This window comes from Homo sapiens, chromosome 19, assembly GCF_000001405.40.
Source record: "Homo sapiens chromosome 19, GRCh38.p14 Primary Assembly".
Classification (NCBI taxonomy): domain Eukaryota; kingdom Metazoa; phylum Chordata; class Mammalia; order Primates; family Hominidae; genus Homo; species Homo sapiens.
Window position 1 is genome coordinate 48,720,366 of NC_000019.10, and position 27,645 is coordinate 48,748,010.

General features: G+C 53.6%; 2 protein-coding genes and 1 long non-coding RNA gene across 6 annotated transcripts, besides 10 other annotated features; 1 reads left to right on the plus strand and 2 right to left on the minus strand.

The window, feature by feature from the left end:
* Positions 1–946: an enhancer, noted in NCBI's record as "H3K27ac-H3K4me1 hESC enhancer chr19:49223623-49224568 (GRCh37/hg19 assembly coordinates)". NCBI's record gives its function as "activates a minimal SCP1, AML or CMV promoter by ChIP-STARR-seq in primed H9 embryonic stem cells {active_cell/tissue: H9 hESC(primed)}" and the evidence as "EXISTENCE:reporter gene assay evidence [ECO:0000049][PMID:30033119]".
* Positions 143–683: a transcriptional cis regulatory region, noted in NCBI's record as "genic|chr19:49223765-49224305 region (GRCh37/hg19 assembly coordinates) targeted for CRISPR interference". NCBI's record gives its function as "positively regulates FUT1 gene expression in K562 cells {active_cell/tissue: K562}" and the evidence as "EXISTENCE:mutant phenotype evidence [ECO:0000015][PMID:31784727]".
* On the minus strand, positions 220–20,245 carry RASIP1 (Ras interacting protein 1). Its single transcript, NM_017805.3, has 12 exons — positions 20,156–20,245; positions 19,781–19,921; positions 18,595–19,280; positions 14,831–15,186; positions 8,572–9,225; positions 7,028–7,065; positions 6,642–6,793; positions 6,420–6,523; positions 4,352–4,595; positions 3,972–4,144; positions 1,489–1,636; positions 220–632 (listed from the first exon to the last, which is right to left on the minus strand). The coding sequence occupies exons 2-12, from the start codon at positions 19,915–19,917 to the stop codon at positions 433–435; spliced, it is 2,892 nt and encodes a 963-aa protein (NP_060275.2). The 5' UTR covers positions 19,918–19,921; positions 20,156–20,245; the 3' UTR covers positions 220–432.
* Positions 651–700: an enhancer, noted in NCBI's record as "active region_14905". NCBI's record gives its function as "activates an Ori minimal core promoter by ATAC-STARR-seq in GM12878 lymphoblastoid cells {active_cell/tissue: GM12878}" and the evidence as "EXISTENCE:reporter gene assay evidence [ECO:0000049][PMID:35858748]".
* On the plus strand, positions 7,779–11,150 carry LOC124904737 (uncharacterized). The gene is made up of 2 exons (XR_007067286.1): positions 7,779–8,003; positions 10,901–11,150. It is a non-coding gene; the product is annotated as an uncharacterized LOC124904737 (long non-coding RNA).
* Positions 18,461–18,980: a silencer, noted in NCBI's record as "silent region_10900". NCBI's record gives its function as "represses an Ori minimal core promoter by ATAC-STARR-seq in GM12878 lymphoblastoid cells {active_cell/tissue: GM12878}" and the evidence as "EXISTENCE:reporter gene assay evidence [ECO:0000049][PMID:35858748]".
* Positions 18,461–19,037: a biological region, named in NCBI's record as "H3K27ac-H3K4me1 hESC enhancer GRCh37_chr19:49242120-49242659".
* Positions 18,498–19,037: an enhancer, noted in NCBI's record as "H3K27ac-H3K4me1 hESC enhancer chr19:49242120-49242659 (GRCh37/hg19 assembly coordinates)". NCBI's record gives its function as "activates a minimal SCP1, AML or CMV promoter by ChIP-STARR-seq in naive and primed H9 embryonic stem cells {active_cell/tissue: H9 hESC(naive and primed)}" and the evidence as "EXISTENCE:reporter gene assay evidence [ECO:0000049][PMID:30033119]".
* Positions 20,098–21,523: a transcriptional cis regulatory region, noted in NCBI's record as "promoter|chr19:49243720-49245145 region (GRCh37/hg19 assembly coordinates) targeted for CRISPR interference". NCBI's record gives its function as "positively regulates FUT1 gene expression in K562 cells {active_cell/tissue: K562}" and the evidence as "EXISTENCE:mutant phenotype evidence [ECO:0000015][PMID:31784727]".
* IZUMO1 (izumo sperm-oocyte fusion 1) lies at positions 20,487–26,544 on the minus strand. Of its 4 annotated transcripts, NM_182575.3 has the most exons (10): positions 26,070–26,544; positions 25,260–25,567; positions 24,849–24,923; positions 24,088–24,174; positions 23,810–23,830; positions 23,080–23,160; positions 21,844–21,944; positions 21,424–21,577; positions 20,936–21,113; positions 20,487–20,663 (listed from the first exon to the last, which is right to left on the minus strand). In NM_182575.3, exons 2-10 carry the CDS (start codon positions 25,492–25,494, stop codon positions 20,543–20,545), a joined length of 1,053 nt encoding a protein of 350 aa, NP_872381.2. In that variant the 5' UTR covers positions 25,495–25,567; positions 26,070–26,544; the 3' UTR covers positions 20,487–20,542. The 4 variants fall into 4 exon arrangements, 3 of the variants coding, with proteins under 3 accessions (NP_872381.2, NP_001308793.1, NP_001308794.1); NR_135832.1 differs by lacking the exon at positions 26,070–26,544 and having other exon boundaries at positions 20,523–20,663; positions 21,424–21,607; positions 25,327–25,567; NM_001321864.1 differs by lacking the exon at positions 25,260–25,567 and having other exon boundaries at positions 20,523–20,663; positions 26,363–26,544.
* Positions 24,743–25,263: a transcriptional cis regulatory region, noted in NCBI's record as "promoter|chr19:49248365-49248885 region (GRCh37/hg19 assembly coordinates) targeted for CRISPR interference". NCBI's record gives its function as "positively regulates FUT1 gene expression in K562 cells {active_cell/tissue: K562}" and the evidence as "EXISTENCE:mutant phenotype evidence [ECO:0000015][PMID:31784727]".
* Positions 26,039–26,824: an enhancer, noted in NCBI's record as "H3K27ac-H3K4me1 hESC enhancer chr19:49249661-49250446 (GRCh37/hg19 assembly coordinates)". NCBI's record gives its function as "activates a minimal SCP1, AML or CMV promoter by ChIP-STARR-seq in naive H9 embryonic stem cells {active_cell/tissue: H9 hESC(naive)}" and the evidence as "EXISTENCE:reporter gene assay evidence [ECO:0000049][PMID:30033119]".
* Positions 26,825–27,610: an enhancer, noted in NCBI's record as "H3K27ac-H3K4me1 hESC enhancer chr19:49250447-49251232 (GRCh37/hg19 assembly coordinates)". NCBI's record gives its function as "activates a minimal SCP1, AML or CMV promoter by ChIP-STARR-seq in naive H9 embryonic stem cells {active_cell/tissue: H9 hESC(naive)}" and the evidence as "EXISTENCE:reporter gene assay evidence [ECO:0000049][PMID:30033119]".

Genomic DNA, 27,645 nt, shown 5'->3' on the forward strand with positions numbered 1-27,645 from the left:
GGACTGAGGGCCTTATAATCGGCAGAGCAAGCTTAGGGCCGTGTTCTGAGGGGTGTGGGAGGCTCCTCTGCTCTTGGGTTGGATTACATGCAAAAGGGCGAGCCAAGGCCGTGGCTATAAATACCTCCTCAGACTCGGCAGGGGCCCAGACAAGGGCCCTGCAACCTTGTTCTGCAGAAAATCATCATTAGCGCCCCTGAGTCTTAACAATCGAGGCGCTGCCGATACCACGGATACCTTTATTGCTCCCTGGCATTCACATCCTAAGCCCATGCTCCCACCGTCCCATCCGCTACTTCCCGAAAACTCAATCTCCCAACATTCCACGCGGGATAAGAACTACAACTCCCAGAAAGCTTTGCGCTCAGGCGGGCTCCTGTCCGTAGAAGCCCGTGACATTTCAAGGTTCGCGCGCTCGTTTGGTATTGGTTCTCAAGGAGACGTGGCCACGGGAGGCCCATGGCGATAATTGGCTGGCAGCTCCTGCTGCTCAAGATCCCAGAGGAGGCGGCGGAGCCTACGGAGTTCACGGTGCAAGGCATCGTCCGTCACTGGACCAGTGAGGCGCAGGCGCGAGCTCCCCAGGGGGAGGATGAGGGGCGGGTGCGAGGAGAAGCTTTCGAAGATGTCCCCTGTGAGGCCGAAGGCGGCGCGGTTAGAGTCTGAAAGTGGGAGTGAGGTAGTTGCATCGGGAAGAGCCGAGGCTGCGTCACACCCAAAGGAAGAAAAAAACTACAAACCCCAGCAACTCCTGGGGCGGGGTCCGTTCACACGCTACTCTAGGAGCCCCTGGGCATGATGGAAGTTGTAGTTCAGACGATGGAAGGCCACCGTTGCCTGGGAAACGGCTTCCCAAATCCCCGAGAAAGGGCTGGGAACTTGCCTTACAGATTCCTAAAGGTGGAGGAGTCAAGTTCAGGGGAGTGAAAGTCCCGAGACCTGGACTCCTAGGGGTGGTGGGTGGGTGGCTGGTGGAGGGAATGGACTAGGGATGCGAACCCCAGAGAATAAAGGGAGCTGGGGGCTTGAACTCCTGTATCTTGACGGGGGAAGGGGCTGGGTCCTGCACTTATGTCCTGGTGGGGAGGGACAGGGGTCCAGAATCTGGGGTTAGAAGGAGACTGGGGATCTGGACTCCAAGATCCTGAGAAAAGAAGAAAGGTGAGGTGGTTCACGCCTGTAATCCCAGCACTTTGGGAGGCCGAGGCGGGCGGATCACGAGGTCAGGAGTTCGAGACCAGCCTGGCCAACACGGTGAAACCCCCGTCTCTACTAAAGATACAAAAAATTAGCCAGGCGTGGTGGCGCATGCCTGTAATCCCAGCTACTCGGGAGGCTGAGGCAGGAGAATCGCTTGAACCCGGGAGGCAGAGGTTGCAGTGAGCCAAGATCGCGCCATTGCACTCCAGCCTGAGTGACAGGGCGAGACTCCGTCTCAAAAGAAGAAGAAAGCTGACAGCCCCAATGCTGTATCCCATTGCTCCTCACCTGTGTCCACAGCCTCCCGCTCTGCAGGGGGAGGGTCCCACGCGGCTGGCGGCCCGCGGCCAGGGCCCAGCTGATAGTGGCTGAGCAGATGGTGCAGCTGGGCGGGGGTCAAGGTGGGGTGGTCGGTTCTTAGGCTGCTCCATGAAGCCTGGTGGGAAGACCAGGTGAGAGGTTGATGGTCATTACGGGGCAGTTAAGAAATGAAATGGAAGGGCTTCCATAAGGGGAGTGGGTGTGGTGGGAAGATAATGGCATCTCTGCAGTGTCTTCTGGGCACTGTGAAGTCTGTTTATCACCAAAGTGATGGTGGGGAAGGGTGTGCTCCCAGCAATTTGTAAAAATGTGATGTGCCTCAGGATAATTGAGGATACAGGAAATGAGTAGGGTGGAAATAAATAAGATTGGCCATTCGTTTATATTATTGAATCTGGCGATGGTACTTGGGGATTTTTTTTTTTTTTTTTTTTTTTTGTCCTTAAAGAGACAGGGTCTCACTCCGTCGCCCAGGCTGGAGTGCAGTGGCTCGATCGTGGCTTGCTGCAGCCTCAAACTCCCGGCTCAAGTGATCCTGGGCTCAAGTGATCCTTGGCCCCAGCCTCCAGAGTAGCTGGGACTACAGGCACACGCCACCACACCTGGTTAAGTTTTTGTAGAGATGGGATCTCACTATGCTGCCCAGGCTGGTCTCAAGCTTCTCAAAGTTCTAGGATTACAGGCATGAGCCACTGCGCCCAGTTGGGATTCATTATTCTATGGCGGCCACTCTATATCTGTTTGACAATGTCTACACCTGATGTAGCTGACGTCAGAACCATCAATGTGCTTAACATCAGAGACTCCACCTAGACTGCCTGAGTTCAAAAATCCCAGGTGGGTCACTTATTACCTTCCGGCAGGTCACCGTCCCCTAGTCTCCTCATCCATAAATTTGGAGAACAGGAACTATCTAATAGAGTTGGTATGAGGATGCAATATGGCAAAATTGTAAAGTACTTGGAACACTGCCTGGGGCTTATTAAATGCATGGTAAACTTTCTTTCTTATTGTTTTGAGACAGGGTCTTGCTTTGTCACCCATGCTGGAGTACAGTGGCATGACTGTGGCTCACTGCAGCCTCAACCTCCTGGGCTCAAGCAGTCCTTCCACCTCTGCTTCTGGAGTGGCTGGGACCACAGACGTGTGCCTCCACACCTGGCTAATTTTTAAAATTTTTGGTAGAGATGGTGTCTCCCCTATGTTGCCAACTGGTGTCAAACTCCTGGGCTCAAGCGGTCCTTCCACCTCGGCCTCCCAAAATGCTGGCATTACAGGCATTAGCCACTACGCCCAGCCCATTATAAACATTTGATATAAATAAATAAATGTCTATGGGGAACAGTTTTTGTAAGATATTTAAGAAGAAAGGAAAATAAATAATTGAAATTGGCCGGCCATGGTGGCTCACGCCTGTAATCCCAGCACTTTGGGAGGCCGAGGCAGGCGCATCCCCTGAGGTCAGGAGTTCAAGACCAGTCTGCCCAACAAGGTGAAACCCTGTCTCTACCAAAATTACAAAAATTAGCCGGGTGTGGTGGCGCGTGCCTGTTATCCCGGCTACTCAGGAGGCTGTGGCAGGAGAATCGCTTGAACTCGGGAGGCGGAGGTTGGAGTGAGCCGAGATCATGCCATTGCACTCCAGCCTGGGTGACAGAGTGAGACTCCGTCTCAAAAAAAAAAAAAAAAAAAGGAAAAATAAGTGAAATCAAGCGACCTGTCCTACCTGATTCTGTTTCCTCATCCAAAAAACAGTCAGTCACCTACTTCGATGGGGCTTTGTCAGCATTAAACTAGAAGTGCTAAACAGGGTGCCTGGCAGGTAGTTCATGTTCAATGAATGTTTTAATCATCATGTTCCTTTGTCTCATACCACACTTTCTGACTCAGCATGTCTGAGTGAGGGACCCTGGAAACTTTTTTTTTTTTTTTTTTTCTGGAGACAGGGTCTCGCTCTGTCGCCCCGGCTGGAGTGCAATGGTGCAATCTTGGCTCACTGCAGCTTCTGCCTCCCAGGTTCCAGCGATTCTCCTCCCTCAGCCTCCAGAGTAACTGGGATTACAGGCGTGCGCCATCAAGCCTGGCTAATTTTTGTATTTTTAGTAGAGACAGCGTTTCGCCATGTTGGCCAGGCTGGTCTCAAACTCCTGGCCTCAAGTGATCCACCTACTTAGGCCTCCCAAAGTGTTGGGATTATAGGCGCGAGCCACTGCTCCTGGCCTGGAAACTATTTTTAATAAGTTCCACCAGGATTCAGACACAGCCGAGTTTAGTCATTGTTGGTGCTGGCTTCCTTCTACCTGCCAATGTGTTACCCACAGTGTCTGAGCTGGGGCTGGGGATGGCATGGGGTTCAAGGGGAGCTCTGACGGTGAGCTGAATATAGAAGGTGGCTGAGGGGGGTTGAGGAGTCAGAGGTCAGGGGTCAGGTATAGCTGACCAGGAGTCACCTTGAGCAGGGAAGTGCGGGGCACACAGAGCAGGTTCACAGCCATGGAGAGTTTCCGGAAGAACTCAGTGGCAATGTCGCCCAGCCCAGCTCCCTGTAGCCAGTCCAAGACGAGGTCCAGGTTGGTTCGGATTTGAACAGCTCGGGACCATTGATAGAAAGGCCGGCCTTGACCTGTGGGTGTTAAAGGTATGAGAGGCAGTTGGTTGGCTGGACTCTGTGCTCCTGCCTCCCAGACTCTTCCTATCCTTCAGCCTGGGATCTGGAGCTTGTTCTCCAGGGTACCCAAAGGTGAGGCTTGAGCCCGTGGTGTGTCTAATATGACCTGAGTCTCAGTGGCTCCTGTCTTTGCCTCCCTGACAGCTCCCAGCCAACCTTCACCTCGTTCCATCAGCGAGTTGAGAAGGGATGCGTTGGAGAAGAAGAACAAGTAGCCAAAAGTCTGAGACACGAGGTCAGGGTGCAGCTCGCACTGGCTGGTCAGCTCCAAGGCTGCCTGGAACACGCCCAGGGTAGGTCTCAATCCTGGAGGCATGGCCCCCAGCTCCGCGCCAGGCCCCGGCAGCTCTGCACCAGCTGTGAAAGGGTTACTATCCAGGAGAGCAGGCAGCGTTGAATAGAGAGTCTGAGAAAATAGAGAAGTGGAAACAAGTGATTGGACTACAACTCCCAGGAAGCTTCAGGGTAATAGAGCATGAAGATAGTGGGGAGCTCCACCAAAGTCTTCTGGGAGTTGTAGTCCATTCTACAGTCAACACCCAAAGGGTCTCCGTGAGCAAATCCCTACTTGATAGAAGGGTATACAAGTTTCTCGAGTATTTTAAGATCACCTCTTGTGCATTGTGGGACTTGTAGTTCTCAGCAGAGACAGCTCAAGGAGGACAAAGGATACTGGACAAAGAGTTCCCTTTCAGTCAAAGAATTATTCATCCTGAATTCCCAAAGGAAAGAAAAAGAATGGAGAGTCAGGAAGTGGGAGTGGGATGGCAGTTTGCCAGTGGAAAATGAGATCAGGCCAAGGACAGGAAATGAGGTCAGAAACAGAAGAAATAAACGCACACTTGGCAGGAATGTACAGGAAGTGAAGGAGGAAAGGGCTTCACAATCCAGGCTGCTAGAGGAACTTAGAGACTGATAGTTAGCTGTCCCAAAAGATCCTCTCTCATTCTTGCACATAGGGCATCAAGCCCACCATAAGCCAGAAACCCTGAGAATGCCAAGAAGTGGTGTTAAGGTCAAGGGTAATGGGGGGGAAACTGGGGCAGAAAGCAGGCCCTTCCAGGAAGGGCACTCAGAGAAAAAGATCTGTCGTTCTGAAAGGGAAGTGAATTCAGAGCTGTAGGAAGTGAGGTCAGCAAGCGAAGGAAGTGGGGCCTGATGAAAGAGGATCTTCAGTTTAAATCACAGTTCCTGGCACTATTTGATCTCTAGCTATCTATCAATCATTTATCTATCTATTATATATGAAACTTAACAGTGACTGAAGAGTAGACTTAGAAAGTGGGAGATTCAGAAGGTGGTAATGGTGATGTTACCAAGTAGTGAGGTCAGCCTGTCAAAAGTGGTGATGATTACTTTTTTTTTTATTTCGTTTAATTTTATTTTACTTTTTTGAGATGGAGTCTGTCTCTGTCGCCCTGGAGTGCAATGGTGCGATTTCAGCTCACTGCAACCTCCGCCTCCCGGGTTCAAGCGATTCTCCTCCCTCAGCCTCCTGAGTAGCTGGGATTGCAGGCACGCGCTACCATACCCAGCTAATTTTTGTATTTTTAGTAGAGACGGGGTTTTACCATGTTGGTCAGTCTGGTCTCAAACTCCTGACCTCGCGGTCTGCCCACCTTGGCCTCCCAAAGTGCTGGGATTACAGGCGTGAGCCACTGCATCCGGCGTTATATTACTCTTTTGAGACAGAGTCTCGCTCCATCTCCCGGGTTGGAATGCAGTGGCATGAAGTAATCTTGGTTCACTGCAACATCCGCCTCCCAGGTTCAAGTGATTCTTGTGCCTCAGCCTCTCCAATAGCTGGGATTATAGGCGCAGGCCACCATGCCTGGCTAATTTTGTATTTTTAGTAGAGATGGGGTTTCACCATGTTGGCCAGGCTGCTCTCAAACTCCTGACCTCAAGTGATCCACCCGCCTTGACCTCCCAAAGTGCCGGGATTACAGATGTGAGCCACCGCGTTTGCCCAGGTGATGATTACAAAGGAAAAGAAGCCAGAAAGGCAGGAAGTGATGTAAGCTCTAACAAGTGGTGTCAGAACAGCAAAGTCCTTGGGTGAGATGGGATGTCATGTCAGAGAAAAGCAGAAAATCTTGAGTCAAATAGTGACATCAGAGCCACACAGTGTAGTTCAAACAAGAAGTGATGTTACCACAAACAGGAAGTGATATTACGTGAAACAGGAAGTGATGCTATGTCAAACAGGAAGTAAGAGGCAAGGGCCAACCTTGGTGAGGTAGTAGACAGACTGCTGGAAGGTACACATGATGACCTCATCCAGGAGGGCCATGGCCTCATCACATAATTCCAAGTCATTGCAGAGCTGTGGGTCTGAGGACAGGCTTGGGGTTAAGAGGGAGAACCAGAAGTCGGCAGCCAGGAGCCCAGGTCCCCAGGTGCAGGGCATGATGGGAGACTTGGACAAGCCTGAGCCTGAGTCAGAGCTCACCCTCTTGGTCAGCCTCCTTCTCCATTTCCAGCACCTTCTCCTGCACAAAGCTAAGCAGCTCCGTGGTGTTGGCCATCCACAGCATGAGTGGCCGCAGCTCCACAGACACAGCTTCAGGAGTCAGGGGCACCTCGGGGACCCCCTCAGGGTGGCTTGAAAAAGAGGAAGGAATTTGTGATCCCTGCCCAACCCTCATCATAGTTTACAAACCCCAAGATCTAAGTCTAAGTGGGAGAGCAAGACCAACTCCCATTGCGCAGCTGGAAAAGTTGAGCGCAAGGAGAAGCAGAAACTTGCACTGGGGCATGCATGGGGTGAACACAGAACTAGACGCAAAACCCAACCCCTGCATCCCTCCAGACCACTCTGCTCAGAATTTCTCTTACTTTTCTGGCTGACGGTCTCCAATTTCCTTAATCTTTTCCTGTGGAACAGTAAGATCAGAATCAAGGTGAGGGGGATCCACTGAGGGGCTTAAGAGTTAATACCCTGGTTTTTATAGAAGCACAACTCTCATAGAGACTGGTCCTACTTTTCTTAGAGATGGGGTCTTACTATGTTGCCACCGGTGGTCTCCAACTCCTGAGCTCAAATGATCCTCCCACCTTGGCCTCCCAAAGAACTAGGATTACAGGCATGAGCCACTGCAACCGGCCTTCACTCTTCATACGGATTCTTTTTTTTTTTTTTTTTTTTTGAGATGGAGTTACCCTGTTGTTGCCCAGGCTGGGGTGCAATGGCTCAATTTTGGCTCACTGCAACCTCTGCCTCCCAGGTTCAAGTGATTCTCCTGCCTCAGCCTCCCAAGTAGCTGGGATTACAGGCATGTGCTACCATGCCCGGCTAATTTTTTGCATTTTTAGTAGAGACGGGGTTTCACCATGTTAGCCAGGATGGTCTCGATCTCCCGACTTCAGGTGATCTGCCCGCCTCGGCCTCCCAAAGTGCCGGGATTACAGGCATGAGCCACCACGCCTGGCTCTTGAGACAAATTCTAATCCCACAAGCTTTAGAATGGTCTCTCCTTACTTTTTAAAACATACACACCCTATGATTATGAGTGATCTAGCTCCTTCAGGTCCTCTTCTCCAATTTTTACCCCCAAGAAACTCCTTAAACCTCTCTGGTTAGGCCCTAGCTCAATAGGATGGAACGTTTCCCCCACTCTGAATGGTTTCTTTCTGGAACTTCCATCTGTAGGTCCAGTGGATTTGTGCTTCCTCGCCTCCAAGAATGAACTCGCTCACTGCTATCCAAGCTCCAAGCCCAATGGGCTGCGGTGAATTCTCACACTGATCTCTGTCAACTTCTCATCCAGTGGGATCTCTCCCCCACCATCTCCCATAATGGTTTCTTCCTAAGGTGAGTTCGTGCTTAGGTGAGCTCTCCTAAGGTGAGTTTGGGCTTCCCTCTAAGTGCAGTGGATCTACATCTCCCAGCATTCTATGGGGGGGCCCCTTGCTTAATAACCCCAAAACACCGGGTGTGGTGGCTCACACCTGTAATCCCAGCACTTTGGGAGGCCGAGGCGGGCGAACCACGAGGTCAGGAGTTCCAGACAAGCCTGGCCAATATGGTGAAACCCCGTCTTACTAAAAATACAAAAAATTAGCCGGGCGTGCTGGCAGGCGCCTGCAATCCCAGCTACTCGGGAGGCTGAGGCAGAAGAATCATTTGAACCCCGGAGGTAGAGGTTGCAGTGAACCAAGACCGCCACTGCACTCCAGCCTGGGTAACAGAGCGAGACTCCGTCTCAAAAACAAAAGCAAACAAACAAACAAACAAAACCCAAAACCCCAAATCCTTCCCGAGGCGTCATGGGAACAGTAGTATCCAGCCCAGCTATGAAAAGGGTTGAAGGTAGGGAAGGGAGGCTGGAGAAGGGACTTGGGGCGCTGGTGGGGCTGGACGGCGATTGGGGGGCGCTCACCCAGACGGCCTCCTTGATGAGCCGGGCCAGGCGGCCCAGCAGTCGTGGCAGGTGGCCCAGCTCCAGCTCACGGGCGGAATGCTGCACGCACAGCGCCAGCAGCGTGGCGGGCCCGAGGGGCGGCAGGTCTCCCGAGCCGGCGGCTGCGGCGCGCACGATCTCGCCCAGCAGCGCCTCCTCCTCGCGCGGCCGGAAGCGCAGGACTGGCTCACGGCCGTCCAGGTAGGCGGCCAGTGCCTCGCCGCGCTCCTGCAGGCCGCGGCCGCACAGGCGACAGGAGAAGGCCCAGCCAGGGCCTGGCGGCGTGGCCCCGGGGCGCGCGGGCAGCCACGGCGGCCTCGCAGGCCCCGAGCCCCCAGTGCGGGGGTCCTTGTACATGAACAGGAAGTGCTCGCCCAGCCCCAGGAGGTCGCCCGGGTGCAGCTCAGCCTCCCGCAGCAGGAGGCACCCGTTGTGCGTGACTGGGGCGCCCCGGGACGGGCGCACCATGGCCGGGTGCTCAGGGCCCGCGCGCACTGTGCAGTGACGCGGCAGGATGTCCGGGGCGTTGAGGAAGGTGTCCACATAGGGAGCCGGGGACCCCCCGCGGCCAGACGAGTTCCCACCTCGCCCAAACACGTGCTGCTCTCGCGTCATCACATACACCACAAAGTCCTGGAGGGGAAACGAGGATGCACTAAGGACATCACTTCAATCCATATCTTCAGATCTGTTCTCTCTGTTTTCTACAACAACTTTTCTATTCCCACCAACTTTTTTTTTCCTTCTTCTTCTTTTTTTTTTTTTTTTTTTTTTTGAGATGGAGTCTCGCTCTGTCCTCCAGGCTGGAGTCCAGTGGCACGATCTCGGCTCACTGCAACCTCTGCCTCCTGAGTTCAAGCAATTCTCCTGCCTCAGTCTGTTGAGTAGCTGGGAGTACAGGCGCCTGCCACCACACCCGGCTAATTTTTGTATTTTTAGTAGGGAAAGGGTTTCACCATGTTGGCCAGGCTGGTCTTAAACTCCTGATCTCAGGTGATCCACCTACCTCGGCCTCCCGAAGTGCTGGGATTACAGGCGTGAACTATCGCGCCCGGCCCCCCACCGACTTTGAATAGACACTCCAAGGAGATCTGGATCTCAAAGGACTCTCTAAGCACCCGCAACGCCACTGAGTGGACTCTTCCCAGGCACTTTGTATGGTGGATGGTCCCATAACACCCATCCCGAAGACCGGCTATGTACAAGGAGACCCCCCTTTTTTTCTTTGAGACAGAGTCACGCTCTGTTGCCAGGCTGGAGTGCAGTGGCACGATCTCGGCTCACTCCAACCTCCGCCTCCCGGGTTCAAGCGATTCCCCTGCCTCAACCTCCCGAGTAGTTGAGACTACAGGCGCGCACCATCACGCCCAGCTAATTTTTGTATTTTTAGTAGGGACAGGGTCACCATGTTGGCCAGGATGGTCTCGATCTCTTGACCTTGTGATCCGCCTGCCTTGGCCTCCTAAAGTGCTGGGATTACAGGTGTGAGCCACCACACCCAGCCAGAGACCCATTTCTTAACATGGGCTCTACCATTTCTTTCCCTCAAGCATTAGATGCTTTCAAGGAGATCCCTATTTCTAAAATGAACTGTGCAACTACCCTCACCCTCAAAGAATGGACCTTTCCAAGGAAATCTCCTTTTCCCCATCCCTGGTCCCACCTGTCCATTATTTCACCCCCACCCCACCATGGTAAAGGCTTCCAGATATATTTCCCCTTCCAATAATAGTTTTTCTCAATATTCCTCAAGCAATGAATGGGTACTTTTAAAGAGATTCCCTTGGACTGGGCATAGTGGCTGACACCTGCAATCCCAGCACTTTGGGAGGCCGAGGCAGGTGAATCACCTGAGGTCAAGAGTTCAAGACCAGACACGGTGAAACCTGTCTCTACTAAAAATACAAAAATTAGCCAGGCATGGTGGCGCATGACTGTAGTCCCAGCTACTTGGGAGGCTGAGGCACAAGAATCGCTTGAACCCAGGAGGCAGAGGTTGCAATGAGCCAAGATCAGGCTACTGCACTCCAGCCTGGGCAACAGAGTGAGACTCAAAAAAAAGAGGCCGGGCGCAGTGGAGACCAAGGCCGGCAGATCACCTGAGGTAGGGAGTTCGAGACCAGCCTGACCAACGTGGAGAAACCCTCTCTCTACTAAAAATACAAAATTAGCCAGGTGAGGTGGCTCATGCCTATAATCCCAGCTACTCGGGAGGCTGAGGCGGGAAAATCGCTTGAACCTGGGAGGTGGAGGTTGCAGGAGTTAAGTCCTGCAATGGACTCACCTATTATTCCCACCCCCCTAACAGAGGATTTCAAAGAGATAATCCCCCTTCCATCAATGGATGTTCTCAATATTCCTACAATGGACTCCTACAATGGACTCACCTATTACTCCCACTCCCCCAACGGAGGATTTCAAAGAGATAACCCCCCTTCCATCAATGGACGTTCTCAATATTCCAATCCCCAAAAAGGACATCTCCAAAAAGATCTCCATACAGTGGGCTCTTCTGGTCATTCCACGGATAAATAAATGCCTTCACGGACAACCTCTTACCATGGAGTGTTCCATCTCATTTATCAAATGAAGACAGGCATTCCAGAAGACCTCGTCCTAAAAAATGGACTCTCATCTCCATTCCATAAATGTAGAACCACTCAATCTGACCCCCTTCCATTCGCCAACCATGTCTGAGACAACAGGCATCTTGATATGCATAGATCCCCCTTCTACACTAAATTCTACCATTACCCCTACCCCATGAATGGGTGTTTCCAAAAAGACTCCTACCTCCAAAAGATTTGCTCATCTACCCTTGTAGAAAAATGGGTCTTTCCAGTCTTACCACCTTCTGAAGGTAGACTCTCCTGTTCTTCATTCCTGTCTGAAGGAATGGGATGACCCAAAATAAAAGCCCCCTTTCTACAATGGGCTCTCCTGCTCCCTAACCCAGGAAGGGATGCTTTCTTGGCACCTACAGTGAACTTTCACTTCACAGCCACTCCATGAATCGGCAAACCAAATGAATTCCTACAATAGATTCACCTGGTATTCCTGCCTCCAAGGAATGAACAATTCAAATGAAACCTTTTTTTTTTAATCTCTTTTTTTTTTTTCTTTTTTGAGACAGGGTCTCTCACTCTGTCATCAGACTGGAGTGCAGTGGCATTATCTTGGTTCACTGCAGACTTGCAGACTCCACCTCCTGGGCTCAAGTGATCCTCCTACCTCAGCCTCTCAAGTAGCTAGAATGACAGGCATACACCACCACACCTGGCTAATTTTTGTTTCTGTTTTTCTTTTTTTTTTTTTTAAGACGGAGTCTCTCTCTGTTGCCCAGGCTGGAGTGCAGTGGCGCGATCTCGGCTCACTACAAGCTCCGCCTCCCAGGTTCCCGCCATTCTCCTGCCTTAGCCTCTTGAGTAGCTGGGACTACACGTGCCCGCCACCACGCCCAGCTAATTTTTATATTTTTAGTAGACATAGGGTTTCACCGTGTTAGCCAGGATGGTCTCGATCTCATGACCTCGTGATCCGCCTGCCTCAGCCTCCCAAAGTGCTGAGATTACAGGCATGAGCCACCGCGCCCAGCCTGTTTTCCGTTTTTTATACAGATGAGGTCTCACTATGTTGCCCAGGCTTACTTTGAACTGCCACCTGGAAGAATATGTCCTTCCAATTTGACCACCTTCCCAAAAGAGACCTTCGTGTTCTCCAGCCTTGTCCAGAGGAATGGCTGTTATAATATATGCAATCCTCTTACTACAGTGAGCTCTCCCCATCTCCTTGCCCCCACAAGGAGGAATGAATTCTTCCATACAAGCTCTTTCCTGAAGAGAGTCTTACCTTCTCACCCATATACACAGTCAAGCTGCCTAACCCAATTGGATCTTTCTGTGACCGTAAAAATGGAACTGTCGAATAAGCTACACCACCTTCTTTTTGTTTTTCATTTTTTATAGAGACAAGGTTTTGCCATTGGTCCCAGCTGTACTTGTTTAGCTTGGCTGTACCATTGTTAACCATCAGTTGGCCACACCATAAGGATAATTCACCCGATCACTGCACATAAATGAATATTTCCAATAACACATTACTCACTCTCCCTCCTGGAGTGCAGTGGTGTGATCACAGCTTACTGCAGCCTAGACCTCCCTGGGCTCAGGGGATTCTCCTGCCTCAGCCTCCTGGGTAGCTGAGACTACAGATAGGTGCCACTACATCTGGGTAATTTCTTGTCCTTTTTTGTAGAGACAAGATTTCACTGTTGCCCAGGCTGGTCCCAAACTTCTGGTCTCAAGTGTTACTCCTGCTTTGGCTTCCCAAAGTGCTGGGATTACAGGAGTGAGCCACTGTGCCCAGACAACATGTTACATTTCTATTAGTGCAGTAACTTCCCACTGATCCTCAACCACCAATCCTTTCTTCCTCTTTTGTACCAATCAAGTTCTGTTGGTACCCAGCTATGTAAAATAGATAGAAGGATCAATACCACCTGCCTCCATCAATAGTGGTCAAATTGTTCCAATGTAAAGCATCACCTTCTAAAAATGGGTCAGTGCTGGCCGGGAGCGGTGGCTCACGCCTGTAATCCCAGCACTTTGGGAGGCCAAGGCAGGTGGATCACTTGAGGTCAGGAGTTCAGAGACCAGCCTGGCCAACATGGCGACACCCTGTCTCTACTAAAAATGCAAAATTTAGCTGGGCATCATGGCAGGCGCCTATAATCCCAGCTACTCAGGAGGCCGAGGCAGGAGAATTGCTTGAACCTGGGAGGCAGAGGTTGTAGTGAGCCAAGATCGCACCACTGCAGTCCGGCTGGGTGACAGACTGAGAATCCATCTCAAAAAAAAAAAAGTGTGGGGGGGAGGGGGCAGTGCACTCCTACGAAGAAAACACAGGCTTATCCAGAACGTGATCCCAGGCAACAAATGACTTCCCTGCCCTAGAAGGTGGACTCCCCTGTTACTCCCTCTCAAGAAATAGATTCAAGAAATAGATATTTCCAAGGGGATCTTTCTTTTAAAAAATTTTTCATTAAAAAATTTTTTTAGGCCGGGCACAGTGGCTTACGCCAGTAATCCCAGCACTTTGGGAGGCCGAGGCGGGCGGATCACGAGGTCAAGAGATTGAGACCATCCTGGCTAAACGGTGAAACCTCATCTCTACTAAAAATACAAAAAAATTAGCTGGGCATGGTGGCGGGCGCCTGTAGTCCCAGCTACTCGGGAGGCTGAGGCAGGAGAATGGCGTGAACCCAGGAGACAGAGCTTGCAGTGAGCCGAGATCGCGCCACTGGAGTCCAGCCTGGGCGACAGAGAGAGACTCCGACAAAAAAAAAAAAGTTTATTAAAAAAATTTATTTTGGAGACAGGGCCTTTGTGTGTCACCCAGGCTGGTGATGGTACAGTGGTGCCATCATAGCTCACGGAAGCCTCGACCTCCTGAGCTCAAGAGATCCTCCTGCCTCAGTCTCCCGAGTAGCTGGGACCACAGGTGCACACCACCACGCCCGGCTTTTTTTTCTTTCTTTTTTTTTTTTTTTGAGACAGAGTCTTGCTCTGTCTCCCTGGCTGGAGTGCAATGGAACGATCTTGGCTCACCGCAACCTCTGCCTTCCGGGTTCAAACGATTCCCCTGCCTCAGCCTCCTGAGTAGCTGGGATTACAGGCGTGCGCCACCACACCCGGCTAATTTTGTATTTTTAGTACATACAGGGTTTCTCCATGTTGGTCAGGTTGGTCTTGAACTCCCAACCTCAGGTGATCCACCCACCAAGGCCTCCCAAAGTGCTGGGATAACAGGCGTGAGCCACTGCGCCAGGCCTAATTTTTGGTAGAGACAGGATCTCACTATGTTGTCCAGGCTGGTCTCGAACTTTTGGCCTCAAGCAATTCTTCCACCTTGACCTCCCAAAGTGCTGGGATTATGAGAGTCAGCCGCACGCCTGGCGGGGATCTTCTTTCTACAATGGAATCTCCTTAATGAAGACAGTGCTTTCCTCCAACTTTGAATAAAGTGAACTATTCCCTATTTCCTCCTCCATTGGACTCTTTCTCAGCCATCTACTCTCCCTCTCCTGTGAATCTCTACTCTGGAACCTTGAGGGACCACGCCCCACTAGAGTACTTGAGGCTAGCGCGCCCCGGGCCTTCTGGGAGTTGTAGTTTTGTTGCTCACCCACCAACAGATGGGGTATAGGGCTCTGGGCGTGCGGGGCTGGGGCGGCGGTTACCTGGGCGTCCTGGTAGCCCTGGAGCAGCAGGAAGTAGGGGCGGTTGCTGGGGGCCTGGATGAGGCACTGAGTCAACTGATCGAAGTCCCCGGGGTCTGCAGTTCCGATTTGGGCGTCGGCTGCCCCTGGGGCCATGCTAAGTGCCTGCTGTCTCCGCTCCTGCTGCCGCCGCCGCCGCCCCTGAAGGCTAAGCTCCGACACGCTGCGCCGCAAAGACAAGTTTTCTGAGCGCTCCTTGCCTCCAGACCCAGCTGGGGCCCCTGATCCGGTCCCCGGGCCAGGACTGGCCAGCGCTGCCCCACCCGACGCCGCCCGGGAGCGGTTCTTCTGTGGCCGCCACGAAGGGGCGCCGGTGCCTGCGGAGAGATGGAGAACAGTGAGGCTGAGCCTGGAAAGACAGGGATAGACACAGAGCTGCAGATTATGAGACAAAGAACTGGTTGCAGAGAGGTGAGGCTGCTTCCCACATTTAGGATTTAGGCTTTTGCATATTCTGTTCCCTGTGCGTGGAACACCTTTCTGTCCTGATTAATACCCATCTTGCAGTTTTCAGCTCAGGAATTTCATTCATTCTTTTCCATTGAATCATTTGTTCTTCTTTTTTTTTTTTTTTATTTCAATACGTAGTCTCGCTCTGTCGCCCAGGCTGGAGTGCAGTGGCACGATCTCGGCTCACTGCAACCTCTGCCTCCCAGGTTCAAGCAATTCTCCTGCCTCAGCCTCCCAAGTAGCTGGGATTACAGGCGCGCACCACAACGCCCGGTTAATTTTTGTATTTTTAGTATAGATGGGTTTTCACCATGTTGGCCAGGCTGGTCTCGGACTGGTCGGTCTCGAACTCCTGACCTTGTGATCCTCCCGTCTCAGCCTCCCAAAGTGCTGGGATTACAGGCATGAGCCACAGCGCCCAGCCCATTTGTTCTTTTAACAAGTATTTAGGCCGGGTGCGGTGGCTCACGCGTGTAATCCCAGCACTTTGGGAGGCTGAGGCGGGCGGATCACAAGGTCAGGAGATCGAGACCATCTTGGCTAACACGGTGAAACCCCGTCTCTACTAAAAATACAAAAAATGTGGCAGGTGCCTGTAGTCCCAGCTACTCGGGAGGCTGAGGCAGGAGAATGGCGTGAACCCGGGAGGCGGAGCTTGCAGTGAGCCGAGATCGTGCCACTGCACTCTAGCCTGGGCGACAGAGCAAGACTCCGTCTCAAAAAACAAAACAAAACAAAACAAGTATTTATTGACTACCTACTACATGCTTAGAACTGTTCAAGTCACTGGATAACAGAGAAGACCCTGCCCTCCAGGAGATTGAAACCACCTCTTCCTAAACACCCTTCCCTGACAGTCCAAGTTGAAGCAGGTGACTGCACCACTGGGTACTCTGAGCTTTTTCTGGACCCAGCTGGAACCCTGGCACACAGTAGGCACCAAGGGGAAATGAGCTGAATGAATGGACTGATGTGTTTCCCACTAGGCTTGTGAGATATGGGAGGGTGGAAACCTCATCTGTCAACGTCCCCACTGTATTCCCCAGTGCCCCGAAAACTGTGTGGCCAGGCTGGGCGCGGTGGCTCACGCCTGTAATCCCAGTACTTTGGGAGGCTGAGGTGGGTGGATCACTTGAGGTCAGGAATTCGAGACCAGCCTGACCAACATGGCGAAACCCCCATCTCTACTCAAAATACAAAAAATCAGCCAGGCGTGGTAGTGGGCACCTGTAATCCCAGCTATTCGGGAGGCTGAGGCAGGAGAATTGCTTGAACCGGGAGGTGGAGGTCGCAGTGAGCCATGATCGTGCCACTGCACTCCAGCCTGGGCAACAGAGCAAGACTCCATCTCGAACAACAACGACAACAACAACAAAAAAACAAAAAGGAAAATGTGTGGCCTACACCAGGTGCTCAATGGATACTTTGTCGAGGGGGTGGCGGAGACAATGCTTATAATCGTCATTCTTTATTAAGCACCTACTCTGTGCCAAGCCCTGTGCTAGGCCCTTTATATACATTGAATATATTATCCCATTGAATCCTCACCTAGGATTTTACTGAGATTAACTGGCACAGAATGGGTTGGAATTCAAACCCCAGTTCAAAGCCCATCAGTTGAATTGCTACAACATTCTATCTCCCAAAAGGAAGCTCAGATACAGAAAAGCGTTTAGAAGGCTCCCTGAGCAGACCCGTGCTTTCAATGCGCCAGGCCCCACCCCTGCCAGGCGCGGTCCACCACCAGCTGTTTGACCATTGACTCTACCTTCTGTTCCAGGCCTTCCTTCGCCTCTACAGTGATATCTTCCTTCAGCCCCTTCCTTTCCCATGTGATCCCACTTGGCAGCCAACCCAGCCTAAGGCCGTCTTATCCAAGGCCGGCCCCTCAGCGGCTCCGCCCATCTTAGTCCCAGCAGGCCTGATCTAGGAACCTGTATTCACTCACTCTGCAGGTGTCGCCCCCTTCTATACTCCACCCACATAGGCCCTGCTCAGTAGCCACCTCAACCTACTTGGCAGAGCTGCCTCCTACCACAGAGACCCATGCTCACCACATGCCACCACTCCTCGCGGGACCCAACAGTTTTTGCCCCAGACCACGCTTTTCCACAAGCCCCGCCCCACCACAGGCCCCGCCCCACAACATGCCCCGCCCATCTGCTCTGCATCGCTCCCAAGAACATTGTCCGTGCTTACTCTTCCGGCTCCTAGGTCTCCAATTCCTTTTTCTTTTTCTGGAGGACAGTTTTTTGTTTGTTTGTTTGTTTGTTTTTTCGAGACGAAGTCTCGCTCTGTCCCCCAGGCTGGAGTTCAGTGGCGCGATCTTGGCTCACTGCAGCCTCTGCCTCCTGGGTTCAAATTATTCTCATGTCTCGGCCTCCCGAGTAGCTGGGATTACAGGCATGCGTCACCACGCTCGGCTAATTTTTGTATTTTTAGAAGAGACAGGATTTCACCATGTTGGCCAGACTGGTCTCGAACTCCCAACCTCAGGTGATCCGCCCGCCTCAGCCTCTCAAAGTGCTGGGATTACAGGCGTGAGCCACCACGCCCGGCCAGGACTAGTTCTTTAATTCAAAAAGACCCTTGTCAATATTCAGTATCAAAACAGTTGCACTATTGATTTCTCTTTCTCCTAATTGGCCCCAAGAGACCACATCAAAGGAGAGTACAGTTTAAGCCATTAAGCTGCAGGATGTACACCTAACAGACCTCGCAGAAACCTTACCAGAAAGTGGGGATTGGTTAGAGAAAGGAACTTTCAAAGATCAGCAAATTGCTAGTGTCCTCTAACCTACCACACAGGGCGAATCCCTTAGGCCCCTGCGGACTCCTGCCCATTCCACTGGACTCCACAAACGCTCCTCAGGATCTACTACTCCGCAGACCCCGCTACACACCCCACCTCCTCCAAGGCAGTCTGAAATGCCTGCAGAAGGCCCTAACCCCAATTCGGAGCCACTTCAGGCCACTCCAAGCCACCACCAGCAACCAGCCCCCGTCCCGCCTAAGCCCCAAGCTTGGCCCCTGTAAAACTCCTGCTCAATCAACAAGCCCCACCCAACTCTCAGGCCCGCCCATCTGGCCGCCCCCGGCCCTGCTCTAGCTCTGCCTAGAGTCCAACACGCACCGTCCAGTCCCCTCCCAGTCCCCTCCCGCGGGCCCCGCCCCCAGCCAGCCCGCGAGTCCCACAAGCCCCGCCCAGGCCCCGCCCCACGGACCCCGCCTCTCTGGCACCGAGTCCCCGCCCCAGAGCCCCGCCCGCCGCTCACCTTCGCTGTCCGCGGCCCCGAAGGCCTCCTGCTCCAGGCGCCGCGCCTCCTCGCGGCCGCGCAACTCGAAGCGCCGCGCCCAGCCGGGCCGCGCCCGCCACAGCTCCTGCACCAGCAGCGGGCGCTCGGAGTCGCCCAGCACGCGCAGGTGCTCCGCCCGCCACTCGCCGCTTCCCACGCCCGCCGCCGCGGGCCGGCCCAGAGCGTCGCACAAAGCGAAGGCGTCCACGCAGCTGCTCTCGCCGGGGCCACCGCCGGGGCTGCCTGCTAGGCCGTAGCGCTCTAGCGCCTCGGCCACGAGCTCGCGCGCCGTGGAGCGCGCCGTGGCCAGCACGCTCTTGTAGTTGGCGCCCGATGCCAGTCCGGCGCCGAAGATCTTGAGGACCCCCGGAGGCGCCGTGGCGCGGGTAGCCAGCGGGGGCTCGGGGGCCACGCCCGCCGCCAGCTCCGGCAGCTTCTTCTCGCTGGCCCAGCGCTGCGCGCCCCCCGGGGTCCCAGGGCCTCCTGCGCCGCTGGACCCCGTGGTCCCGGTCCCCGAGCCCCGGAAGAGCTGGGAGATGCGCTTGGCGCGGCTACCGGAGGCTCCCCCGGCCGCCTTGACAGCGCCCACTCGCCGCAGCTCCACGTGCGGCGGGGGCGGAGGTAGCGGCTCGCTGCTGCGGCTCCCCGTGTCCGACGAAGAAGACCTGGGAGTCCGCCGGGGAACAGAGTCGCGGGAGAGAGACCCAGGACGACACGCCAAGACGGGGGTGGGGGCATATTAGGAGGGAAGTGGGCAGAGACCCAGAGGGAGGACAGGGACCCAGGGTGGATGGACGGGGCGGGGGTGAGGGTGGGGACAGACGCGAGGCAAAGAGAGAGAGAAAAAATAAATAAATAAAGGCAAGTCCCACAGTAGGAAATTCCAAGAGGTGAGCAGGGAGGGGAGGAAGGAAGGTGAATCAATCCCCCTGCTCCTTCTGTCCCCGTCCCCGTGCCCATCCGGCCTCACTCCACCTCCTAGCCTAGCTCTTACTCCCACCGCGCCCTGGTATCACTGTGCCCCACCGTCTCCCCCTGCCCACCAGCTCGTTTGCCCAATTCAGGATGAGGACCGGAGCCAACACTTTGCAGGGACTGGGCAGTGAACAGGGACAGATGGGAAGCAGGTGTGCAGGGGCAGGAGTCCTGCAGAGATGGCACTCACTTGACAGAGGCTGCGCTGGGCCAGCGCCGCCCCAGCTTCGCCAGCTGCTTCCTGGGGGAATTGATCCACAGGCCCACGGGGAGATGAAGCTTCCCGAAGCGGGGGCTTCCGCCCTCCTTCCGTTCACCAGACAGCATGGCCCTAAGGGAAGGCGGGTAAGGCCCCAACTCCTAAGGCATTCTTGTGGGGATGGGGTGGAGGGAACCTGGACTCCGAGTCAGAGGGAGGAGGGGGCTGGGGCTCAGACTTGCGAGTCCAGGGGGAGGAGAGGGATGGTACCCTGGATTCCTGGGTCCTGGGATGGAAGATGGCTGGGGGACTGAGTCTTGGGGCCCAGGGAGGAGGGGTTTGGGCTGCTGGGTCCCTGGCTCTTACCCTGCTTCGGGTCCGGCACACCCGGAGGCCCTGGCTCCACTGGCCTGGGTCAGTTCCACTGCTCTTGCCTCTGCCACGGCTCCCAGCACTGGGTGGGGGACAGGAAAAGGCAAGAGGAAACCCGGCAGGAAGAGCGGGGAGGGGGCGTCCTGTGAGGAGACCAGGCCTGGGGGAGGAGATCTGGGTAGGGTTGGCCCTGCCCCATTCCTTGATTCTGGAATTACATCGCAGTCAGTTGGTCCCCTCCAGGACCCAAGGGTCCCGGTTTTCTGCCCTTCCTCCCTCAGGCCGGAGCCCATCCCCAGACCTCTCCTCTCGGGGAACCAAAGGCTAGAATCAGTCCCGTCCCGGGGAGTGAGTCAGATGCTTAGACAACAAGATAAATCTTTATTGTTGCCTCGAATCTGTGGCCTTTTCTTTTGGGACCTGGGTTTGCTCGGCCGCTCCACTGCCAAGGCCAAACAGTGAGGATTTGATGAAATCGATCACCTTCCTTCGACGAAATATCCTAGGGGTGGGAGTGGGGTGCAGATCATGGAACCGGTTTGGGTACTAATTGTGTGGGGGACACCCCTCCCAACCTCCCCCTTTGTGACCTTATTCTAGCAATTACCTAAGCCTCGCCCTTCGAAGTCCTCCTATTCAAGCCCCCCGCACTCCATCCCCAGGAAAGTCCTGCTCTCAGGCCTCAGTAGCCCCCAGACCAGCTTCTGTGTTGGGTTCCTGGAAGCCCCGCCCCTTACTCCAAGCCAAGCCTGTCTTCTTCAATGGGTTGCTTACGCAAAGGTAAGGCCGGTTATCAGTGCTAGGGAGCCGCAGATCAGCAGCCCCAGAAGGCGGCTTGCCAGCATTTTCTCGGGCTGCAGAGGCTGGAGGCTTATGGACGACTCCGTGGTCGCCTCCCCCGGGGTTACGATATTTGGAGAAGGTTTTTCCTCCTTGATCATTTTGGGCAACACTGTTAGAGAAAGCGTAAAGAGCAGTCCTGGCAGGGCGTGGAGTTCCTGCCCTGGCAAAGACAAGCCCGTCCCAGTAGCCGGCCATCCCAGAGATAATCACGCCTTCAACAGTGTCAAGCCTGAACACACCCAAGGGAACCCCTGTCCTCGGGGCCAGAGGCCACGCCCCCGGCAGGAAGCCACACCCCGTGCCCCGAAACCACACCCAACAGGAAGTCACGCCCCCATCGCCAAGGCCACGCCCCCGCCGCGGACCCCAGCTTTCCTGGGCCCTGAATCCTACACTTCTCTCAGCCCCACAGCACTGACCTGTGACGTGAAAATTGATGATCGTGGCTGGGCTGGAATTCACAGAGCCCAGCTCGCAGCGGTAGCTGCCTGCATCCTCTGGACCCACCATGGGCTTGGTCAGGGTGGCCTCTTTCCCCTTGGACACCAAGGTCTCCGTATTGTTCCCCCAAACCTAGACCCAAGCTCAAGGGGTCACTGAGGCCTGAGGAATTCAGGGGTTGGGGGAGTACAGGGGTGAGAAGATCACAGGGCCTCAGTGTGGGAGGTGAGTGTCCAGGGTGTCACTGGTCAGGGCACGGGGTCCCCAGAGGTCTGTAGAGACCACACCTAATAGACCACCCTCCTGGGTCATGAGAATCGTGGGTGCAGGCCCATAGATCCAGAACACAAGTATTGTAGTCTAGGGAGTTCAAGGGTTACAGAAGTTGAGGCCCTCACCCTGTAAAAGCTGTAATCAGTGAGGCCTTCCGAAGCCTGATGCCAGTTTAACTCACAGTCCAGGATCATGTCTTCCATTTGAGGAACTTCCACATTCCGCTCTGGGGGTGGGGGATGACCATGGGACACTCATGATTCTGTTTTTGTTTTTGTTTTTGAGATGGAGACTCGCTCTGTCGCCCAGGCTGGAATGCATTGGCGCGATCTCGGCTCACTGCAACCTCCGCTTCCTGGGTTCAAGCGATTCTCTTGCCTCAGCCTCCTGAGTATCTGGGACTACAGGCGCTTGCCACCACGCCTGGCTAATTTTTGTATTTTTAGTAGAGATGGGGTTTCACCATATTGGACAGGCTGGTCTGGAACTCCTGACCTCAGGTGATCTGCCTGCCTCAGCATCCCAAAGTGCTGCGATTACAGGCATGAGGCACTGCGCCGGGCCTCCTTCACGGTTCTTTACCCTCCCCTAATCCTTTACATTTGTTGTAACCTCGTCTTTTCTCTTTTCTTTCTCTCTCTCTTTTTTTTTTTTTTTTTTTTTAGATGAAGTCTCACTCTGTCACCCAGGCTGGAGTGCAGTGGCGCGATCTTATCTCACTACAACCTTCGCCTCCTGAGTTCAAGCAATTCTCTGCTTCAGCCTCCTGAGTAGCTGGGATTACAGGTGCCCACCACCATGTCTGGCTAATTTTTTTGTATTTTTAGTACAAAAACGATGGTTTCACCATCTTGGCCAGGCTGGTCTTGAACTCCTGACCTTGTGATCCACCTGCCTCGGCCTCCCAAAGTGCTGGGACTACAGGCGTGAGCCAGCGCGCCCGGCCTCTTTTTTTTCTTTTTAGACAAGGTCTCACTCTTTTGCCTGGGCTGGAGTGCAGTGGTATGATCATAGCTTACTGCAGTCTCCAACTCCTGGGTCCAAGCAATCCTCCTGCCTCAGCCTTCCAAGTAGCTGGGACTACAGGAACGCAACACCACACCTGACTAATTTTTAAATTTTTTTGTAGAGATAGAGTCTCGCTATGTTGCCCAGGCTGGTCTCAAACTCCTGGCTTCCCAATCCTCCCGTCTCAGCCTCTCGAAGTGCGAGACTATAGGTGTGAACCACTGCACCTGGCCTAAACCCTACCTTTTCTTGTCTACTGCCCCCACACCCCCATCTAGGCTCTCTCTAGACTGCCTCTCCTCTCGCCCCACCCCACCTGCACCAATTCCTCCTGCTGGGTCCAGTTCTCTCACCCCCGCAATCGTAGGACTTTCGACAAGCGTGAACCTCCTTTTTGCAGTTCTTGCACCAGATCAGAGTTTGCAACATCACACCTGGAGGGGCAGGGTCAAGGCTTGTATTTGCCCACTAAGGGGCATGGCTAAAAGGAGAGGTCAGGGCTAAGGGCTGGGGCCAGATCATCTATGACATTCCTAGATGGTCAGACGAAGGCACAGGACCAGGACGCAGGTAAGTAGTAAGTGGGCTCCAACAAGGCTCAGTAAAGATTGTAAGTAGAGGCCGGATGCGGTGGCTTACTCCTGTAATCCCAGCACTTTGGGAGGCCGAGGCGGGCGGATCACAAGGTCAGGAGTTCAAGACTAGCCTGACCAACATGGTGAAACCCCGTCTCTGCTAAAAATACAAAAATTAGCTGGGTGTGATGGCGGGCACCTGTAATCCCAGCTACTCAGGGGGCTGAGGCAGGAGAATAGTTTGAACCTGGGAGGTGGAGGTTGCAGTGAGCCGTGATCGTGCCACTGCACTCCAGCCTGGGTGACAGGGTGAGACTGTCTCAAAAAAAAGAGTGTAAGTAGAATATGACCTGCTCCCCAAGAAATCCATGGTGCAGAAAGAATACTGGAGACCCAGGAACCTCTCCAAGGCAGAGAATGACAAAACCACCAGGATCCAAAAAGGCGAGTGGGGAGGTTGACTATTCAGAGGGCAGGATGAGGGTTAACTTCTGTAATCCAGACTCACCACATTTGTTGGGACAATAAGCTGTGTCAAAAGAGAAAAAAAGAGAGCAAGAAAGAGATGACAGAGTCAGATTTCTAAATGAAAGACGATGGAAGAGGGGGTTGGGGGAAGAGCTGGGCTTTGGGCTTTTGGGTTCGAGGGAGAAAAGACTTGGGTCTGAAGGAGGAGGCAGTTGGGGAAGCTGAGGAACTGGGCTTGGAGAAGTAAGGGGCTGGAGACAAGGACTCTTGGATAGTGGAAAGAGGAGCTGGGGGACACCGACTCCCATCTTCTCTCACCCTCTTTTTGGAATCGAGCAACATAGGTGGCAAAGGTTTCCTTTTGCAAGTGCAACATCCAAAATAGCTCCTTCACGAAGAGATCGCCTGGGAAGACACAGGAACCCCCAATCCCACGTGTGAGGTGTTGGAAGTTTACTTCTGCCTGCAGAGTCTGGCAGTCTACTTCCTGGCCTTCTCAGGAAAGGGCGCTACAACTGACCGTCTAACATAATGCCAGCTGCTGGGCTAGGCAATGCATATTTTGGGGGATGGGGGAGGGTCTTACCCTGCCACCCAGGCTGGAGTGTGTGGTGTAATCGTGGCTCACTGAAGCCTCAAACTCCTGGACTCAAGCAATCCCCCCGCCTCAACCCCCCAAGTAGCTAGGACTACAGGCACACACCACCATGCCCAGCTAATATGTATACATATGTCTATTTTTTGTAGAGACAAGGTTTCACCATGTTGGCCAGGCTGGTCTTGAACTACTGAGCTCAAGTAATCTGCCTGCCTCAGCCTTCCAAAGTGCCAGGATTACAGGCCTGAGCTACCGTGCCCGGCCAGCAATACACATTTAAACTGAACAACTGAGGAAGCATTTTAGAGCCAAGGGAGCTTCAAAGTCCTTTGCTCAAGGCCGTACAGCTAGGAAGTGGCAGAGCAGGCATTGGAATCTAGGCGGTCTGGGTCCACAGCCTAGTATCTGACCAAGAGACCAGGCATCACTAACGCTGGCTTCTCTGAGAGATTCGGGACTCCCACCCCCTTGATGCATTTACCTTTTACATCACTGTCTGTGATGCGTTTCAGATCCTTCAGCAAACTCCAGGACCCCTTTTGCAGTGTGGCCTCATCTGTCAGAGGAGATATAACCCCAGATTCCAGCCTTACTGTCTCATTGGCGCGCCTAATCTTAGAAACTACAATACCCATGAGGCCACTGGGCAAAGATAGGCCTGGTTAAGGACTCAGCCGCCCGTTGCCTTCTGGGAGTTGTAGTTTTATTACATAAAATTGCCAGCCGAGGATAGGGAAAACGGTATTTACTAGCCTCGGGGAACCTCGGAATCTGCATCTCAGCCTTCTCCATTCCCGAATCCCGGAGACCCTGCTGTCAGCCTCTTCCTTCCCCTGGTCTTATCTCCCTCCTTTCCCAGGACCCAGGGGTCCGTGGTCCCCCCTGCCCTCACCAACGACCCCCATATAGGCATCCTCATTAAGCGACAGTTCCTGGAAATCCTTCACGGCATTCTCTACCCTTTCCATCATGGCTTTGTGATGCTTCGCATCCAGGTGGCCAGGCAGGTAATCTTTCTCCAGGGACTTTAGCGCCAGCACGACAGACGGGTCACATATAACACACCCCTCGGCAGGAAGCAAGCAACCGGCCAGCGCCGCACACAGGAGGGTAAAATGCGGCCCCATTGCAGCCGGCGCGCACAGTTCCCGAAGACCGTTAGGAAGGGTGCTCTCACCCCAAACCGAGAGCAGGAGAACGCTAAACGGAGAAAAGCCAAAATCCATCTTAAGAAATCCCACTGGGCCGCCTATCCATGGGGTCCGCAAACCTCGAAAAGAGGATCTTCAGGAAATCTCCAAATAAAGAGGACCTATGTCCTTCATCAAATGCCTCCGAAGTGTGAAACTGAGCCCCAATCCAGGGGACCCAAAATTTAGGGTTCTCACTGAATCCCCCAACTGAGAGATCAGAAAAACTATTAAACAGGAATCACTCATAAGTCCCCAAACTCAGAACCTGGAATCTCCCAACCCCATGCGCCCCTTCCCAAAATCCCAAACTGTGGAATTTTCCAAGTCCCCAGATTGACGTGAGCCTGAACTCCAACCCTTAAGAGCAACACCGAGGCACTCCCCCGCCAGCCCCCCAAAACCTGTTGAACCTCAAGCTGAAGATTCAATGCCCAAACCAATAAACATCTAACACAGACCCAACCACGATATTATCAAACTCGGAACTCCTTCAAAACCAAAACACATACCAGATTCCTAGAACTGAGGACCCCACTAACACTTAAGCGAGACTCCATGCGGTCCTCTAGACCTAGGGGGCCCTTGTTCACCCTTCCCCAAAACTAACGGGCTCCCAATTTGCAGGGCGCACCCTTCCGCTTAGAAAAAGGAGCCCCGATGCATCCTGAACAGTGATGCACCCTAAACAGCCGCTCCCCGACCTTGGTTCCCGATTTGTGGCCTCTAACACTAGGGTTCATTGAGGAGCCCGGTCCAGGTTCTGAGGGCTTTTAAAGAGGAAGCCGGGGTCATGACCACCTACGCTAATTTTCCCAGGGGTAAAATCAAGGATTGTGTTGGGGACGAGGGTAAGGTTGGTTGCGTGAAATCGAGAGCTTTTCGACGGGGTCTGAGTCACGGACGATCCCCTCTCCACAAGGAACTCCTGAAACCACCCCCTCCGAGCTTCTCACGTAGGGGCCCGAATTCCTTTATAGATATTCCTTGGGGTTTTCCTCGGCCCCACCCAGAAACTCAACTCTGTCTGATTGGACTGCAACAAAGGGAGGTCCCGCCCATCGCTCCATGACGTCACAGAGGCTGCAGCCTTTTTGGACTAGAATTTTCCCAGCATCTAGGGAAGAGGAAGCCTCCTGACTACTCTGGCTTCCAGAGTCAAGGACCGGACTCAGGCCTTCAGTTTCCTCCCCTCCCCTTGCCCCAGGACCCAGGCTTTGGGCTAGATCCGGCCCCCCAGGCCGCTGCCGCCCCCACCGCGGTCCTTGGAAACGGCTGTCGAGCCACGAAGTGGACATTTTAGCCCTAAGACTACAACTCCCAAAATGCCCTGGGGCCTCTTTCTCTGTAGCTGACTGACGCTGCCAACCTCATAGCTTTCCGGGAAATGTAGTTCAGTGATAATCCGCTCCCTCCTCCGCCTCTTCTGCCCACGCGGAGGTCCCAGTGGGAGGAGAGGACTGGGGGCCAATACTGACAGTCCAGGAGTGAGCAACTGGGGGCTCAGACGTTAGGGTCCTGGAAGGTCTCTCTCTCCTGTGTGATAGAAACAGGGAACCAGAAAAACAGGGACCACAACTCACACAAGTCCAGCAACAAGGGGCTGTCAGATCTAAGTAGGGACAGTACTCCCAATCACGAGTAATAAAAATCCTCAGGGCCCGGCGCGGTGGCTCACGCTTGTAATTCCAGCGCTTTGGGAGGCCGAGGCGGGCAGATTGTCTGAGGTCAGGAGTTCGAGGCCAGCCTGGCTAACATGGTGAAACCCCGTCTCTACTAAAAATACAAAAATTAGCTGGGCATGGTGGCGAACGTCTGTAGTCCCAGCTACTTGGGAGGCTGAGGCACCAGAATCCGAGAGGTGGGAGTTTGCAGTGGGCCGAGATCACACTACTGCACTCCAGCCTGGGCCACAGAGCAAGACTCGATCTCTGAAAAAAAATAAATTAATTAAAAAAAAATAAAAGTCTTCAGAAGTACCCCACCTTTTCCTCCACTCTCTTACACACACACACACACACACACACACACAAACCCACACACACATACACAGTGGCTCTGGCTCCAAAAAAGCTACAGAGACACGGG

Bases quoted from the DNA above. Each gene is read 5' to 3' on its own strand.
- RASIP1 (NM_017805.3), bottom strand. From the start codon at position 19,917: ATGCTGTCTGGTGAACGGAAGGAGGGCGGAAGCCCCCGCTTCGGGAAG. The intron at 9,226-14,830 runs GTAACCGCCGCC...TTTCCCCTCCAG, and splicing joins AGGGCTACCAGGACGCCCAG to GACTTTGTGGTGTATGTGAT. The intron at 633-1,488 runs GTGAGGAGCAAT...TCGGCCTCACAG, and splicing joins GCGGGAGGCTGTGGACACAG to GGGACATCTTCGAAAGCTTC.
- IZUMO1 (NM_182575.3), bottom strand. From the start codon at position 25,494: ATGGGGCCGCATTTTACCCTCCTGTGTGCGGCGCTGGCCGGTTGCTTG. The intron at 24,175-24,848 runs GTAAATGCATCA...GTGTCTTCCCAG, and splicing joins CACAGACAGTGATGTAAAAG to GCGATCTCTTCGTGAAGGAG. The intron at 20,664-20,935 runs GTAAGCAACCCA...TCCCACCCCTAG, and splicing joins ATAACCGGCCTTACCTTTGC to GATATTTCGTCGAAGGAAGG.